The sequence below is a fragment of the Homo sapiens genome, chromosome 2, assembly GCF_000001405.40.
Source record: "Homo sapiens chromosome 2, GRCh38.p14 Primary Assembly".
Taxonomy (NCBI): Eukaryota; Metazoa; Chordata; class Mammalia; order Primates; family Hominidae; genus Homo; species Homo sapiens.
The window spans coordinates 236,323,893-236,337,759 of record NC_000002.12 but is presented as its reverse complement, the minus strand read 5'-3'; the positions used below and the strand labels follow the sequence as shown (position 1 = coordinate 236,337,759).

Sequence of the window (13,867 nt, the reverse complement as noted above, 5' to 3'; positions counted from 1 at the left end):
AAATACAACGAGAGCTTACTTTTTCAATTCCTTCTCCTTAAATAGATTCAAAATCCACTTCTTTTGAAACATGTTTTTTAATGGGAATGACACAAAAAAAGAGCCCCTGGGAGGCAAAGCAGTGGAGCGAGGAGGAGCCTGGGCTGGGGCTCTCAGGACGCCTGGCTCAGAATCCTGGCTCTGCCCCTGCATAGCTGGGTGACCCTGACAAGTCGGTCACCTTCTGAGCCTTCATCTTCTCATCTGTGAAGTAGGAGAACGGTTCACGCCACAGGGCTGCTGTGACACTCACGAGGTGTTAGCAGAGCACCTGGCCCCATGTGGCCCCCAGAGAGAAAGGGTGTTGGCGGCAGTGGCAGTGGAGGTAGAGGAAGAGAAGAAGGTGGTGTGGGCTGGGCAGGAGGAGGGAAGGACGGGTGGTGAACGGCAGGGGAAGCTGGGGAGAGTGCTGGCGGCCGTTCTGCTATCTAGTGCTGTGTGAAAACCTCCCTGAAGGCTCAAACAGCACGTTATTCCACCATGTGCTTCCAAGGGTTGTCTGGGCAGAGCTGGGGCATTCTCCTTAATGTACCTCATGATGTGAGAGTCACATGAAAGTTGAGTCTCCTTCGTCTGGAGACTGGACAGTGTGGATACCCAGGATCGCTCGCGCATGTGACTGGAGTTGCTGCTGGCCGTCGTGGGCACTGAGCGGGGCCTATGTCGACCGGACAGGCTGCACCTGGCCTCAGTGCAGCTTCTCAGACCTGGCAGCTGGGTCCCACGACGGGTTATCTCATGAGCACATGTTTCAAGAAGTTGGAGCAGTAGCTGAAAGGATTCTTGTGACCCAGCCTCACAAGCCACACAGAGGCACCATCACCACCCTCTGTGGTCAAGAGGAAGGCACAGGGCCAGCCCAGATTCGAGGGAGGCCGAGGACACACGGGTGTGAATGCACAGGGGTGGCTCGTGGCGGGGCCACCGTAACACTGCACTGGCGGGGAGCGGTGAGGACTTGGAGGTAAGATGGCGATGGTGCTGTTGGTGTTACAGATGGTGGAGGGGATTGGCGGGAGGTGACAGCGTGTGCTAATGGAGACAGAAGTGCTTGCTGGCAGTAGGGGTGGAGGCAGTGTGGGGTGACGCTGAGGAGGCGGGAGATAGGGTGACTGTGTTGATGGTGGTGTGGGTGGCTCTGGGGAGGGTGTTGGGAATGGTGGCAAAGGTCACATTTGACACTGGAGATGATGATGGTCAGTGGCAGGAGCAGCAGACGTGCTGGTGCCAGTGGTGGTGGCCGTGGTGGCAGTGGTGGTGGCCGTGGTGGCAGTGGTGGTGGCCGTGGTGGCAGTGGTGGTGGTGGTCAGCATGAATGGTAGTAATACAGTGATTAGGTCAGACTTGGTTTCTGTTCTTCCTTCTCCAATCACGTGAGCACCGCAAAGCAGAGGGCATATACGGTCCTCTCTGGCTGTTCGTAAGTTGCTGCTCCGTTTTTTTTGCTAAAAGAACAACCATCTACTCCCTGCATGCTATAAACAGCTAGCTTATTAGCCACTGTGTTTGCAACATGTGCTTATTTCTGTCTTGATAAATTGTGATCCTGGCTTTCTAAATCAGTGTTATACACAAAATACAGGAACACTTTAGGCCCAGCTATTTCTGCATCCATCTAGTGCCTTCTTCATCTTTTAGGGCCTCAAAACGTCCCCCATGAACCTTTTGCACCTGGCCAGCATCCAAAGAAGCGAGGGAAGACAGGATGGAGGAGTCACAGAAGATCTTAAGGACTAGACCCAGAAGAAGCCAACATTTCCTCCAGCCAGATCATGTTGGCCAGAATGAGAAACATGGATGAAGGGGGCAGCGCTGTCCAGCCGAGAAAGGAGACAGCGCAAGACGGGCAGGCACCACAGTCTCGCCGCAGCCCACACAGCCAATGCCGGGGGTTCCACACCCCTGGCCTTAGCAGGACTACCCCTGTCTCCTCTCATGCGTTCTTCTTTTTTTCTTCCTTTTTTGTATGGTATCTATATTTTAAGCTGTGTTAATGGAATAAGGTAGGGTATTATTAATTCAAAGGGGCTGGAGCATTATTCTGGACTCTGGACAGAATGGTTTCTATTGTTTGACAAAACTATAGGCCCTTTAAAAATGAAGCTATTGATGGATGGTCAGCAATTTTGTTCTTTTGATAAAACACCACACATCGCTTAGGATTCAGATCACGCTGCAGATTCCTACCTGAATCTCCTCACAGCATCGTGATGGGAGAGGAAGGAGAGAAAGCATCCCTCCACCTGTGGGCAAATGATAAAGCTGCACCAGACACTTCTCTGGGGCCCTGGGTTCTGTCCGCTGAAGCACAGCTCCTCAATATTTCTGTCTTGGGGAGTGATGTGTTCAGGCCGCCATTCTGGCCGACGTCATCGCCCCTCATCCAGCATTTCCTCCAGTGACCTTGAAGTTTTCATAGCCACAGTGGCTGGGACATCTGTCTTACAGAAAGACTGTTCTTGTCTTTGCAGCTATCAAAAGTAGTATCTTCCAGTCCATAAAGCAAGGGCTGCCAATCCGTAACATAGACGGTGGCTTAGTTGTCTCTCCACCCGCAATGGAGCTCAAAGGTGTGCAGCAGTCCCCGCGGCCCCACTCCTCAAATTCCTCCGGGCCACGTGGGGACAGACGGTGCTGAAAAGTGAAGGGTGGATTTGTAGAGGAAACACAGCCCTCAGGTTCACCAAACATCATTCAATCTCTCCTTCTTTCCCCCAGACCAAGCTGTCTCTGCAAAGAAAATCCACCCCCCAGGCTGATGGATGCCCTGTCTGGTCCCCAGAAATCCCTTCGGGCTTCCGTTTCTCCACATTCCCAGTGCCCTCCTCCTCTTGCCTCTCTCCTTGGGGTGCATTTCGCTAATAACCCAATTCATCACAGGCCCACCCAGACCCAGTGTCTGGTCGGATGGGTCCAGGGTCTGTCTTCAGACTTTTCTGCAATTCCAGGCTTCAGAGGGTCAGAAGCTCACCCACATCACATTATTCACCTCTCAGGCTTTTGGAAAACTCCAAATAAAAATGAATGTTCAGAGACTGCGTCATCTCGAGCGCCAGCCAAGACAGAATCCACTGGGAATGTCAACAGCAGATGAAGGGGAGCCAAAGGCCAAATTCTCTTTCATCCAAAGAAGGGAAAGAGAATGTAGATTGGTCTGAAGATGTGAGGAGCCTTTTGCCTCCAAAAGAGGAAAGTAAAATTCAGCACTTGGCCTGGAGAGCCCCTCTGCTGCCCTCAACACTCTGGGGCCCCTAGCCTTGGTCTTCACCAACACAGCCATTGCCACACCCCAAGACTGCAGTGCATCTGTGCTCCCCACTGCACTTCTGGGCCAGAGACCCCACAGCCTCTGGGGCTCCCATGCTCACTGCCGGCTCCAGTCTCCACCCAGCCCACCACGCTGTGCCTCCCTCCACACCTGACACCACCGTGGGCCCTACAGCAGCTATTTAAGGGCCAAGAAACCATGAGTGGGTGATTGTGTAAAAGCAATAGAAGCGATTCTTTGAAAGACCAACAGCTCGAGTTCATCAGCTGCAGGAAGGAAGCCAAGCCTGGTTTTGCATCCCCTTCTCTGGATCTTCAGATGAGCAGGCAGGTGGGCAGGTCCCACCACAGCTGGGACTGTCTCACAGAGCTCTCTTGCTGCAACTCCAGTAAAAATGGTGATCTATGGAGAGTAACCAATGAGTCATGTATTCAGAGGAATCTTGACCGAAACTCTCCGTGAACACCAAGTATCCTACACTTTAAATGGGCAGCAGCGGGTTTACATGTCCCTCTGGCCCTTGTTGGTCTCACTGCAGGTCTCCAAAGCCTTGATGCCTAATTGTCCACAGCTCGGAGAAACTGGCAGGCCCCACGGTACAGTTCACCCTTTCCCAGTACAGTAACTGTACACCGTTACTAATGAATCTCTACTCATCGAGTGATTACTCCTGCAAGAAGGTTGGATGATTTGGGCAGAAAACTTCCAAGATTGTGACTGTTGTGGCTTCACAGAGAAGCCAGGGAGAGAGTTAGTTATTGGTTGCCAGTGAGCACGTGGCCCTCACCCCTTCCCACTGATAGTTCCCTTTTGCACCACGGCAGGAATTTTGCTCATGCGTGCCCAGAACCAAGTCCGCAAGCATGAAACCCAGCCTGGGATGTCAACTTCAGCTTTTGGGGCCTTACCTGTGACTCTCCCATAAATCATGTTCCCTTCTCAGCTTCCAGAGTCGCCACTCAGACCCGGTGGTACTTTGTTTAGATGTTATAAATTTGGACGGAAGACACACCAGATCTCAAGTGAAGATGTGGGCTAGTTGTTGTTGTTGTGATGATCATTTTTACCATGGGTTATGTTTTCTGATCTCTAACTCTGCAACAGTTATATTTAGACAAGGATAATCTTCACCGGCTGCCATCCATCGCTACACAAACAGGCTTTGAAACACTCTTGTAGCCTATTTTGTGTTGTCTTTTGTAATTGATGTTTTAATGAGGGTTAGGAAACTTCAGTGCAATATAGAATGAAGAACAATCATTGTCATTGTAATAACAACAGTAACACAGCCACAGAAAGTCAAGTCCCCACCAAGTGCCGGGCTGCTGCACTTCCAAGCGCTTTACAAACATTTTTGGGCTTGTTTTTCACAGCAGCACTGAGAAGTCAATCCTTCTATGCCTGTTTTACGGATAAGACTAGTTTGGGGCTCAAGCTCAAAGAAACCCACCAAGGCAGGAGCAGAGTAGATCAGGGATTTCATGATCCTTTAGGCCAATTTGGGGTCCCTGTGGCCCTCCTTGGTTTCACTGCAGATCTCCAAACCCTGGATGCCTATGCATCCACAGCTCAGAGAAATTGGCAGGCCCCAAGGTACAGTTCACCCTTTCCCAGCAGCTCAGCTCACCCACAGGGCCAAGGACCCCCCAAAAGAGGACAGTGGGAGTGAACTGCTGCAATAGCTCGTGGCCCAAAAGCCAGATTCTCCAGCTTGGTTCATAGTTACATTATAGGCCATTTTATTCCTTTATAGTAAGTAGATCTTTTCATTTTATCAGCCATTTTTGGATCAACATACTTGTGTGATGTAGTCATTTAACAGACTCAGAATTAACCGCTTACCAGGCCTGACAATGCTCAGATCAGGTAGTCATGGTCATTTTTTAAAAAATGGTTTCAAGTGTTCCTCAAGAAAAGTCAAAATGGTTTAGAAATATTTGACCAGATTATCCCAGTGCTGAGACTGACAGATGCTCTTGTAAACACCCTTCACCCTTCTCCACCGTCTCGATATAATTAAATAAGTTACAGCAAGTCTCCTTTACTTCCCTTGTGCTCCCTTTACAGAATAGAGGTAATTCTCCAAATACAGAATGATTTTAAGGATTGTACAGGAGTTCATTCCATCTCTAAAGTTAAGCATCCAGAATTATTTCATAATTCATTTTCACAGCATCCCTGTGTTCAGATTGAAATATCTCATTTACTCCAGGTCCCACGAACCAGAGAACACCCAGGACTCATCTGAAGGACTCTAGTCAACCAATGCGTGTTTACAGTTGCTGAGGGGGAAAGAATAAGGGTCAAATTGCTCTATTTAATAAAATGTGTAATACAGTGTCTTCCACTGAAAGGGAACTGACCCTGGCAGTAGCTGATGAAAACTGGAATCTGCATTCTGATTCCAGATGTAAAAATAATGTGAGAAATTAACTTTATATCTAAAAAAAAAGTTAAACTACTTACCCAAATTACTTGGGAAATACAATATTCTGATGAGAAGAGATGCCATTATACACCTTATGAAAATTTCCAGTGTTGACAGATTGTCAACATCTTTACAGGTACCACATTAAAACTATACTGACGGTGGTTTTGTGTTTCTCCTTGTTAATTTGCAGGGCACTTGTGGATCTATAGACCTCAGGGTCATTGATATGTATGGCTTATGGTTGAAAATTCTCTAGAGGAAAGCATTTAGTTACTTGGCTTCGGTTCATTTGAGTTACAAATAAGCTAGAGTAGACTTCTGTGTATTCCTTTCTTGATGAGATGCAACTTTCAACCGAGAGGGAAACTGGCACTGATTTCTCTGTGGTAACCCTTGTTCTCTGTGTCTTTTCTGGATACAACAGTTCTGTGGAAGCAAATCATTGAACGCAATGGAGGAGTCCTCACCAGTGCCTTGAATGTCAGCTGCCTGGCGAAGGTCACTGACGGCTTCACCCAAGGACATATAGTCGAAGTGGTTAAAGGCGTGCTCACAGATCAGAGAATCCGGCGGCAAATTCATAAACCTCTCACTGCAGTTGAGTTTATTACGGCGATAACCAGCATGAATCCAGTGTACAAAGAGGAAGAAGAGAGCTTTAAGGTAAATGAACACCCTGATGACCAAGTCTTAGCAGCAGACACTCCTCACGCTGCCTCCTCCCTCTGCAGTTCCGTGGGTTTCGTGAATTGGAACTCGGCCATATACAGTGAAATTTGGAAACCTGAAATTTTGGATGACAAAATCTTTGGGGTTTTGGCAGTAAAGCATGTATCTTCCAAATTTTAGGAAAACCATGGTGTGTGGCCTTATATATTAACAGCCCAATTGCAGAATTGAGTAGCAGCTTCAACACCATTGGATTCACATAGACACATATACTTATTTGGGTTTTTACTTCATATTTGGTATTATGGAATAAGTTTTGCGTAGAGAAATCATTCCCCAAATAGTATAGTTCAAGCCAATGCTGTTTGGGGCCCACAATTGTCATGGAACACTTTGTTTTTCAGTTTCAGTTCATTTGCGATAGGAAGCCACAAGATAACTCATCAAAATTTAGTTTTCCAATGTTTGAATACATTCTGACCTATTCACAGAACTTTTTGGATCTGAAGGAAACTTTGAGAATTATCTCTCCCAACACCCTCTCTTATAGGAGTGCCCAGGCCAGCAGGCACTCCTCAAACTCTGCCTGCTCTCCTTTAAGCAAAAATAAATACAGTGGTGTTGTCTTTCTGAAGGAAGTTTCCCTGACCAACTCCAAAGGTAAGAGATTATATGCATGCAACTGAAGACCACCACAATATTGGCTGTGCAGTCACCAGAAGGGGCACTGAAATTCCCATCCAAGCCTATCTCTGGGAGCCTGCTTAACATCAGGAAAATTTCCCTCTGCAACACATCACTTTTCCATCAAATCTAAAACTATGATTCCTTCCTGGTTTGCCCCTAATTCTTCAGTGAAGCATTAGAAAGGTGAAAAATAGTCATAATAATGATTTCAGAAGTAATGGTCTAGCACAGAACTTGGCAATCTTTTCCCATAAAGGTCCAGATAGTAAATATTTTAGGCTTTGAGAGCCATGCAGTCTCTATCACAGGTATTCAGTTGTGCATCATAGTACAAAAGCACCTATACACAATACAGAAATGAATGCGTATGGCTGGGTTCCAATAAAACTTTATTTGCAAAAACAGACAACAGGCCAAATTTGGCCCATCAGCCATATTTTGCTGACCCCCGCTCTGGCAAGGCTGAAAAAAAAATGTAACTCTAGCTGAGTGTTTACCAAGCATTTGAATTATTAGTAATATTCTCGTTAACTGTTTAAACCTGTTCATAATTGCTGATATTATCCTCTTCAAATGATACATCATATTCTTTTCTGAAATTCCCCATTTTTTCTCCTTTCTAAAATATTAATTTTCCTCCTTATTTTGAGGAGTTAGATGATAAGGTGTGGAAGCCTATCCTTTCTCGTGGCTGAGCCTTTAACTTTCCGAAGTAATCTCTAGAAGTTTTTCTATCTATAGGTGCTTGAGGTCTGATCACACTATTCAAGAAAAGGAATTACTACCCTTTTATGACCCGGGATGAGAATGCATATGCTTCACACATCCATTCTTGGTGTATTTGTTTGCTCTATTCATTTTCAAAAGAAACTGCATCATTTTGCCATCATTACCCTTTCCACCCAATCCCTTTGTGCCTCCATTACAGCAACAGTGCTTGGCCCTGTGCCTGGCCCCAAGTAGATGTTTAATAAATTTGTTTAGGGACACATTCATTAAACACATGGATAGATGGAGTGACACCCTCACACTCTCCTGAATAATGTGATACCATTGCTATGGTTCCTTCTAATGAGGCAAACCCTGAGAAATTTCACCTAATTGTGCTTCCGACAACGTTATCTCAGATGAAGACCTTGCAGATTCTCCAAACACGTTCTACCCTGCTCCACAGACATGATGGAGAGAATATGTATGATAACGATGATAGTAAGTCTAATAATGTTAGCTAATACGTATTGACTGCTTATTATGTGCCAGCCACTGTACTGACTCATTTAGACTCATAACCCCCTGTTTTGCACATGAGGAAACTGAGATATGGACAGGCATGGTAGGCCGGATAATGGCCCCTCAAGGACGTCTACATCCTCATCCCTGGAACCTGAAAATAAGTGAGGTTACACGGCACAGGGGGATTAAGGCTGCCGATGGAGTAAGCCTGCTAGTCAGCTGACCTGAAGATAGATTATCCTGAATTATCCTGGTGAGTCCAATGTAATCATGAAAAGCCGAAGAGGGAGTTGGAAGAGAAAACCAGAGAGAGCAGTCTGAGAAGGGCACGTTGGTACTCCAGGTAGCCCAGCATTGCTATCCAAAGGTGGAGCAGGGGCCACAAGCCAGAAAAGCAGGTGATTTCTGAGAGCTGCAAAAGGCAAGGGAAAGATTCTCACCTGGAGGCTCCAGAAAGGGACACAGCACTGCAGCCATCTTGATTGTCACCCAGTGAGGCCCGTTCCAGGTTTCTGACCTACAGCCCTGTGAAATCATAAATGTGTGGCTTAAAGCCACCATGTTTCCGGAAATTTGCCACAGCAGCAATAAAATAAACAATACAAGAGGCAAGTAACAACTAGAAAGTAGCAGAGCTGAAATTCATACCTTTCCCCAAAGCGAACTTCATTAACTATATTCTGTACGGGGTCTCGATAAATTAGGAGTTCATCGCCTTAAGTACATGGCCACCTCACCTTACATTAAAAACAGAGCCAAGGCTAAAAGAAGGAAGAGGGAATCCCCCAGTGCCACTAACAGAGAGGTACATCTCAAAGACAGGAACAACTATATGAGCTAATACATGGGTGGCCTAGGGGTGTATAAGATCCAAACAGAAAGGCAAGGAGAGGCCCATGAGAGACAGAATGCTGGAACTGCACAAAGTTGGAACACTTTATAGGTTGCCATGGGGAAGCATCAAGGAACTTGTGATCTTCTCAGGGATCTAGGTGGGGAATAAAAGTGGCCCATAAGAAATCAAAATCCAAGCCTACACCATGCATGTCAAACTTCCAAATCTGTACTACCTCCATGGTCCCAGAATCTCGAGTTGAAATATTAATATAATTTTTAAAATGATAATGGTATCATTAAAACCCCTGAAGTCACATCAAAAGCAAAATTAAAAACCACTCTGTATGGAAATTTAGCCAAGTCAGGGTACATAGGATTCCTACAGGAAATACCAGCCTTGCTAAAGATGAGTTCATAATAAAAAATTATGAGCCACAAGCAATAATCTACCCCAAGGAGAGTCAGCAAATGCAAATAACAGAATAGCACTACCAAGAACCTGAGATAAAAGGACATTCTGAAAGAGACTACAAAATAAGCATGTTTAAATTAAAGACCAGAAACATTAGGGAGGAAAAACAGGAAAATTTGAAAAAGAACCAAATAGAACTTTTGATAGTGAAAAAAATATATAGTCATTAAAATTAAAAACTCAGTGAATCAAGGCGGGCAGATCACCTGAGGTCGGAAGTTCGAGACCAGCCTGACCAACATGGAGAAACTCCGTCTCTACTAAAAATACAAAATTAGCTGGACGTGGTGGCACATGCCTGTAATCCCAGCTACTCCGGAGGCTGAGGCAGGAGAATTGCTTGAACCCAGGAGGCGGAGGTTGCAGTGAGCCAAGATCATGCCATTGCACTCCAGCCTGGGCAACGAGCGAAACTCCATCTCAAAAAATAAATAAATAAATAACTCAGTGAATAAATTGTCTGTGGACTGGACAAAACTAAAGAGAAAACAAAAGAACTGAAAAAGGGAGCAAAGAAAATTGCCTAGAATGCAGCATAGAGAAAAATAAAGGATAGAAATCAAAGAGAGTTTAAGAGTTGGCTGAACACGGTGGCTCATGCCTGTAAGCCCAGCACTTTGGGAGGCCAAGGCAGGCAGATCGCTTGAAGTCAGGAGTTCGAGACCAGCCTGACCAACGTGGCAAAACCCTGTCTCTACTAAAAATACAAAAATTAGCCAGGTATGGTGGTGCACGTGTGTAGTCCCGGGCTGAGGCAGGAGAATTCTTGAACCTGGGAGATAGAGGTCGCAGTGAGCCAAGATCGTGCCACTGCACTCCAGCCTGGGTGACAGAACAAGACTCTGTCTCAAAAACAAAAACAAAAAGAACAGTTTGTGAAAGATAAAATGATAATACCTGCTTCTTTTATGACTGGATCTTTGATATCCCTAATATCACCAGGAAGCATTAAGGGAAGCATCAATCAAAAACATCATTATAAGACCTGGTTCTGTATTTGAGTTTAGAGGATCTTATAGAAGCAGCTGTAGAACTGCTATGGAGGAAAGAATAAGGAGAGAGAGACAGAGCCCAAAACAAAACTTCCCATTCAAAATGAATCTTGGCCAGGCATGGTGGCTCACACCTGTAATCCCAACACTTTGGGAGGCCAAGGCAGGTGGATCACTTGAGGTCAGGAGTTCGAGACCAGCCTGAACAACATGGCAAAACCCCGCCTCTACTAAAAATACAAAAATTAGCCAGGTGTGGTGATGTGTGCCTGAGCAAGACTCCATCTCAAACACACACACACACACACACACACACACACACACACACACACACACACAACAAATCTGAAAATCAAAATTCCAAAACATTTTAGGAAATCTAGTGCTAAATACAATCTGACAAAATGTTTAAATTAATATAATTAAGATGTTCAAAAAATAAATGAGAGCATGACTTCCATTAGAAATGCACAGAACATTTTGGAAAAAAATGAAATGAGAAGAGATAATTATGAAAAAATATTACAAAAAGAAAGCTTAGAGAGTCAGAAGCTAAGGTCTGAATTGCAAAGAAAAAGAAAGAAAGCTTAGAAATTAAAAATATGGCAATCAGTATAAAATGACAAAGGAAATGAAAGAGGTATGAACTCTAAACTAAACATGATCAAAGAGCAATCTGTGGACAGGAAGATGGTCCTGGGGAGTACCCCCAAATAGTCAGCACAAAAAAACAAGAAGGTAAAATCCATAAAAATACAAAGATCCATCAAAGGTGGGTTGAAGACACTGACCTTCATTAATGGAAGTTCTAGAACACAATAAGTTCTAGAACACAAAAAGAATACAGTAAGTATCAGAGGAACAATTGTTTAAAGATATTATTACTGAGAATTTTCCTGAATTAAAGAAGGATTAAAAATCAATTCCAAGTAAAATAATTTATTAACTAATAAACTCCTAGTAATCAGCAGAACAAATCAAATAAATCTATACCTAGATATATTGTTGGGAACTTAAGAACAAGATTAAAAGCCAGGCTTAAAACCTACCAGATTACCTACAAAGAAACAATTGGGAAATCAGACATCTCTTTAACAACCATAGGTGCCAGAAGATAGTGAAATAATATCTACAAAGTACTAAGGAAAAACAACTATCTGCCTAATATTTGTATCCAGCTAAACTGGCATACAAGAGACAGGAGAAAAGAGACATTTTAAGACATATGAAGCCACGCACCGTGGCTCACACCTGTAATCCCTACCCTTGGGGAGGCCGAGACGGGCAGATCACTTGAGGTCAGCAGTTCAGGACCAGCCTGGCCAACATGGTGAAACCCCGTCTCTACTAAAAATACAAAAATTAGCTGGGTGTGGTGGCGCACGCCTGTAATCCCAGCTACTCCGGAGGCTGAGGCAGGGGAATTGCTTGAATCCAGGAGGTAGAGGTTGCAGTGAGCTGAGATCACACCACTGCACTCCAGCCTCGGCTACAGAGTGAGACTCAGTCTCAAAAAAAGAAAAAAAAAAAAAAGACATACAAAGACCAAGAGAGTTTCCCACTTACAGAACTTCAGAGAGCAATTTAGCAATACCAAGTAAAATTGAAGATGTTCAAACCCTACAACCCCAGGAGTTCTATTTCTAAATGTGTGCCCTAAAGAGGTTCTCTCACATAGTTACAAGGAGATTTGTAAAAATTGTGAACTTCAGCATTCTTCATAATAACCAAAAATTCAAATGTCATATATCCATTAATAGGAGAATCGATAAATAACATGTAATATAATCCTGCAATGAAATATTGCTACTATAAAGTTTATAAACCCAAATGTCTCTTAGGTTTCAAATAAAACGCAAAGGTTGAGAAAAATGCCATTGTGGGGCCAGTTACAATCACTAAGTTCTTGGTTAGTATTTGGGCTCCATTATTTCTACCGTGGTTTCAACAGCAACTCCCCCAGAGTAGTTGAATGGCCGCCCATTGTTTACTGAACATGGCCACATATGAACCATGAGCACCCTTCACGTTACCAAGAAAACCCAACCCCGGAAAAACAGGCAACTTTGTTGGGAAGGATGGCTGGTTAGGTTTAGCCTGAGATTCTCTGAAATTGTTAACTCCCTGAGTTAACAAATCATGCAGAAATACAGGTTGAAGTTTCAAATCATGCAGAAAAACAGTCTGGAAAACCCACTGAGAAAGAGCTTGTGTCAAGCATACCTTAAATGCCCAAAGTACAATGGCTGCTTGCCCCTTCCTGCTTAGCAGGCTTTTCTTTATTTTTAAGAGTATTGCGGTGAATTGGTGTCATTCTGACCTTTTCCGAAACTTCTATTGTATTTCAGAACTGGTATGCCAAAACTCCTCTGGGTAAAAAACGTGCCTTGGCGATAACAGGAGGCAGCACAGAAAAGGCAAAGGACAAAGGGAAAAGGAAATAAAAGAAAGAGAAAAAGGCAAAAAAGAAAAAGTAATGCCTTTCTGAAGAACCATGCTTGAGTCTCTCTGGGATGGAGAGGACCCCAACTCGCCAAAGAAAAGATTCACCATTGCCCGCCTGAAGAAGCCCTCAGGGGAAGGAACTTAGCAGTGTGCAGGTGAGCTGATGCCGCAAACCCGCTAACCACTGCATGTGCTGTTATGCCTTTCCCAGGCTGGACACCTAGCTGGGTGTTCATCATAACTTTCCACAGCTTTAATCCACGCCAAGTTTGTATATAACTGAAATTCACTCTTGACACCCTCCACAGTCTTTCCAAGTTGGACTCTTCCTCTCATCAGTACTAGTTGTCAAATTTAAAATGTGACAGTTAAAGAATATTCTAGTTTGACAATTAGTAAGCAATGAGTATATCATCAGTACACTAGCTTTTTATTAATCCATGTACACTGTATAGTATCTTGCATCTATTTTAATAAATTAATTCTTTGCTCTAGTAATAGATTTTATATAATGAAATAAAGGTGTTGTCCTTGAACTGACTCGGTAATTTGGTTGCTGGAGCGAAAACAGGATCTTACAAATGAACTATTTCAACATCCTAATTTTGAAGCTGAGATAGCTGGAGTCCAGGTCCCACTGCTAATATTGAAGCCTGGACATCATCCACCCCGCCTAGTCCTCACTGGAAGGACTGAAAAATTATCAGGCCAATGACTGGATGAAAACCATGGCATAAAAATGGGGTAAATGCAGAGAAGGGAAAGCCGACGTGAAGAAATAACACAGGGTACAT

The 13,867-nt window shown here is 44.3% G+C and overlaps 1 protein-coding gene across 10 annotated transcripts in view; it reads left to right on the top strand.

Annotated features, from left to right (window-relative positions):
- DRC11 (dynein regulatory complex subunit 11) overlaps window positions 1–13,867 on the top strand; it is a 200,792-nt gene that overhangs the window by 169,717 nt on the left and 17,208 nt on the right. For 9 of the 10 annotated variants that reach the window (NR_073043.2, NM_001270584.2, XM_047445852.1 and 6 more), the window contains 2 exons: window positions 6,163–6,401; window positions 12,977–13,609. Coding sequence is in view for 8 of the 10 variants with exons in the window: in NM_001270584.2 (NP_001257513.1) it covers window positions 6,163–6,401; window positions 12,977–13,072 (335 nt within the window). In the remaining 2 variants the exon portion in view is untranslated. Of the gene's footprint in view, window positions 1–6,162; window positions 6,402–12,976; window positions 13,610–13,867 lie in introns of those variants that run through there. The other variant, XR_007081589.1, reaches the window with a different exon arrangement.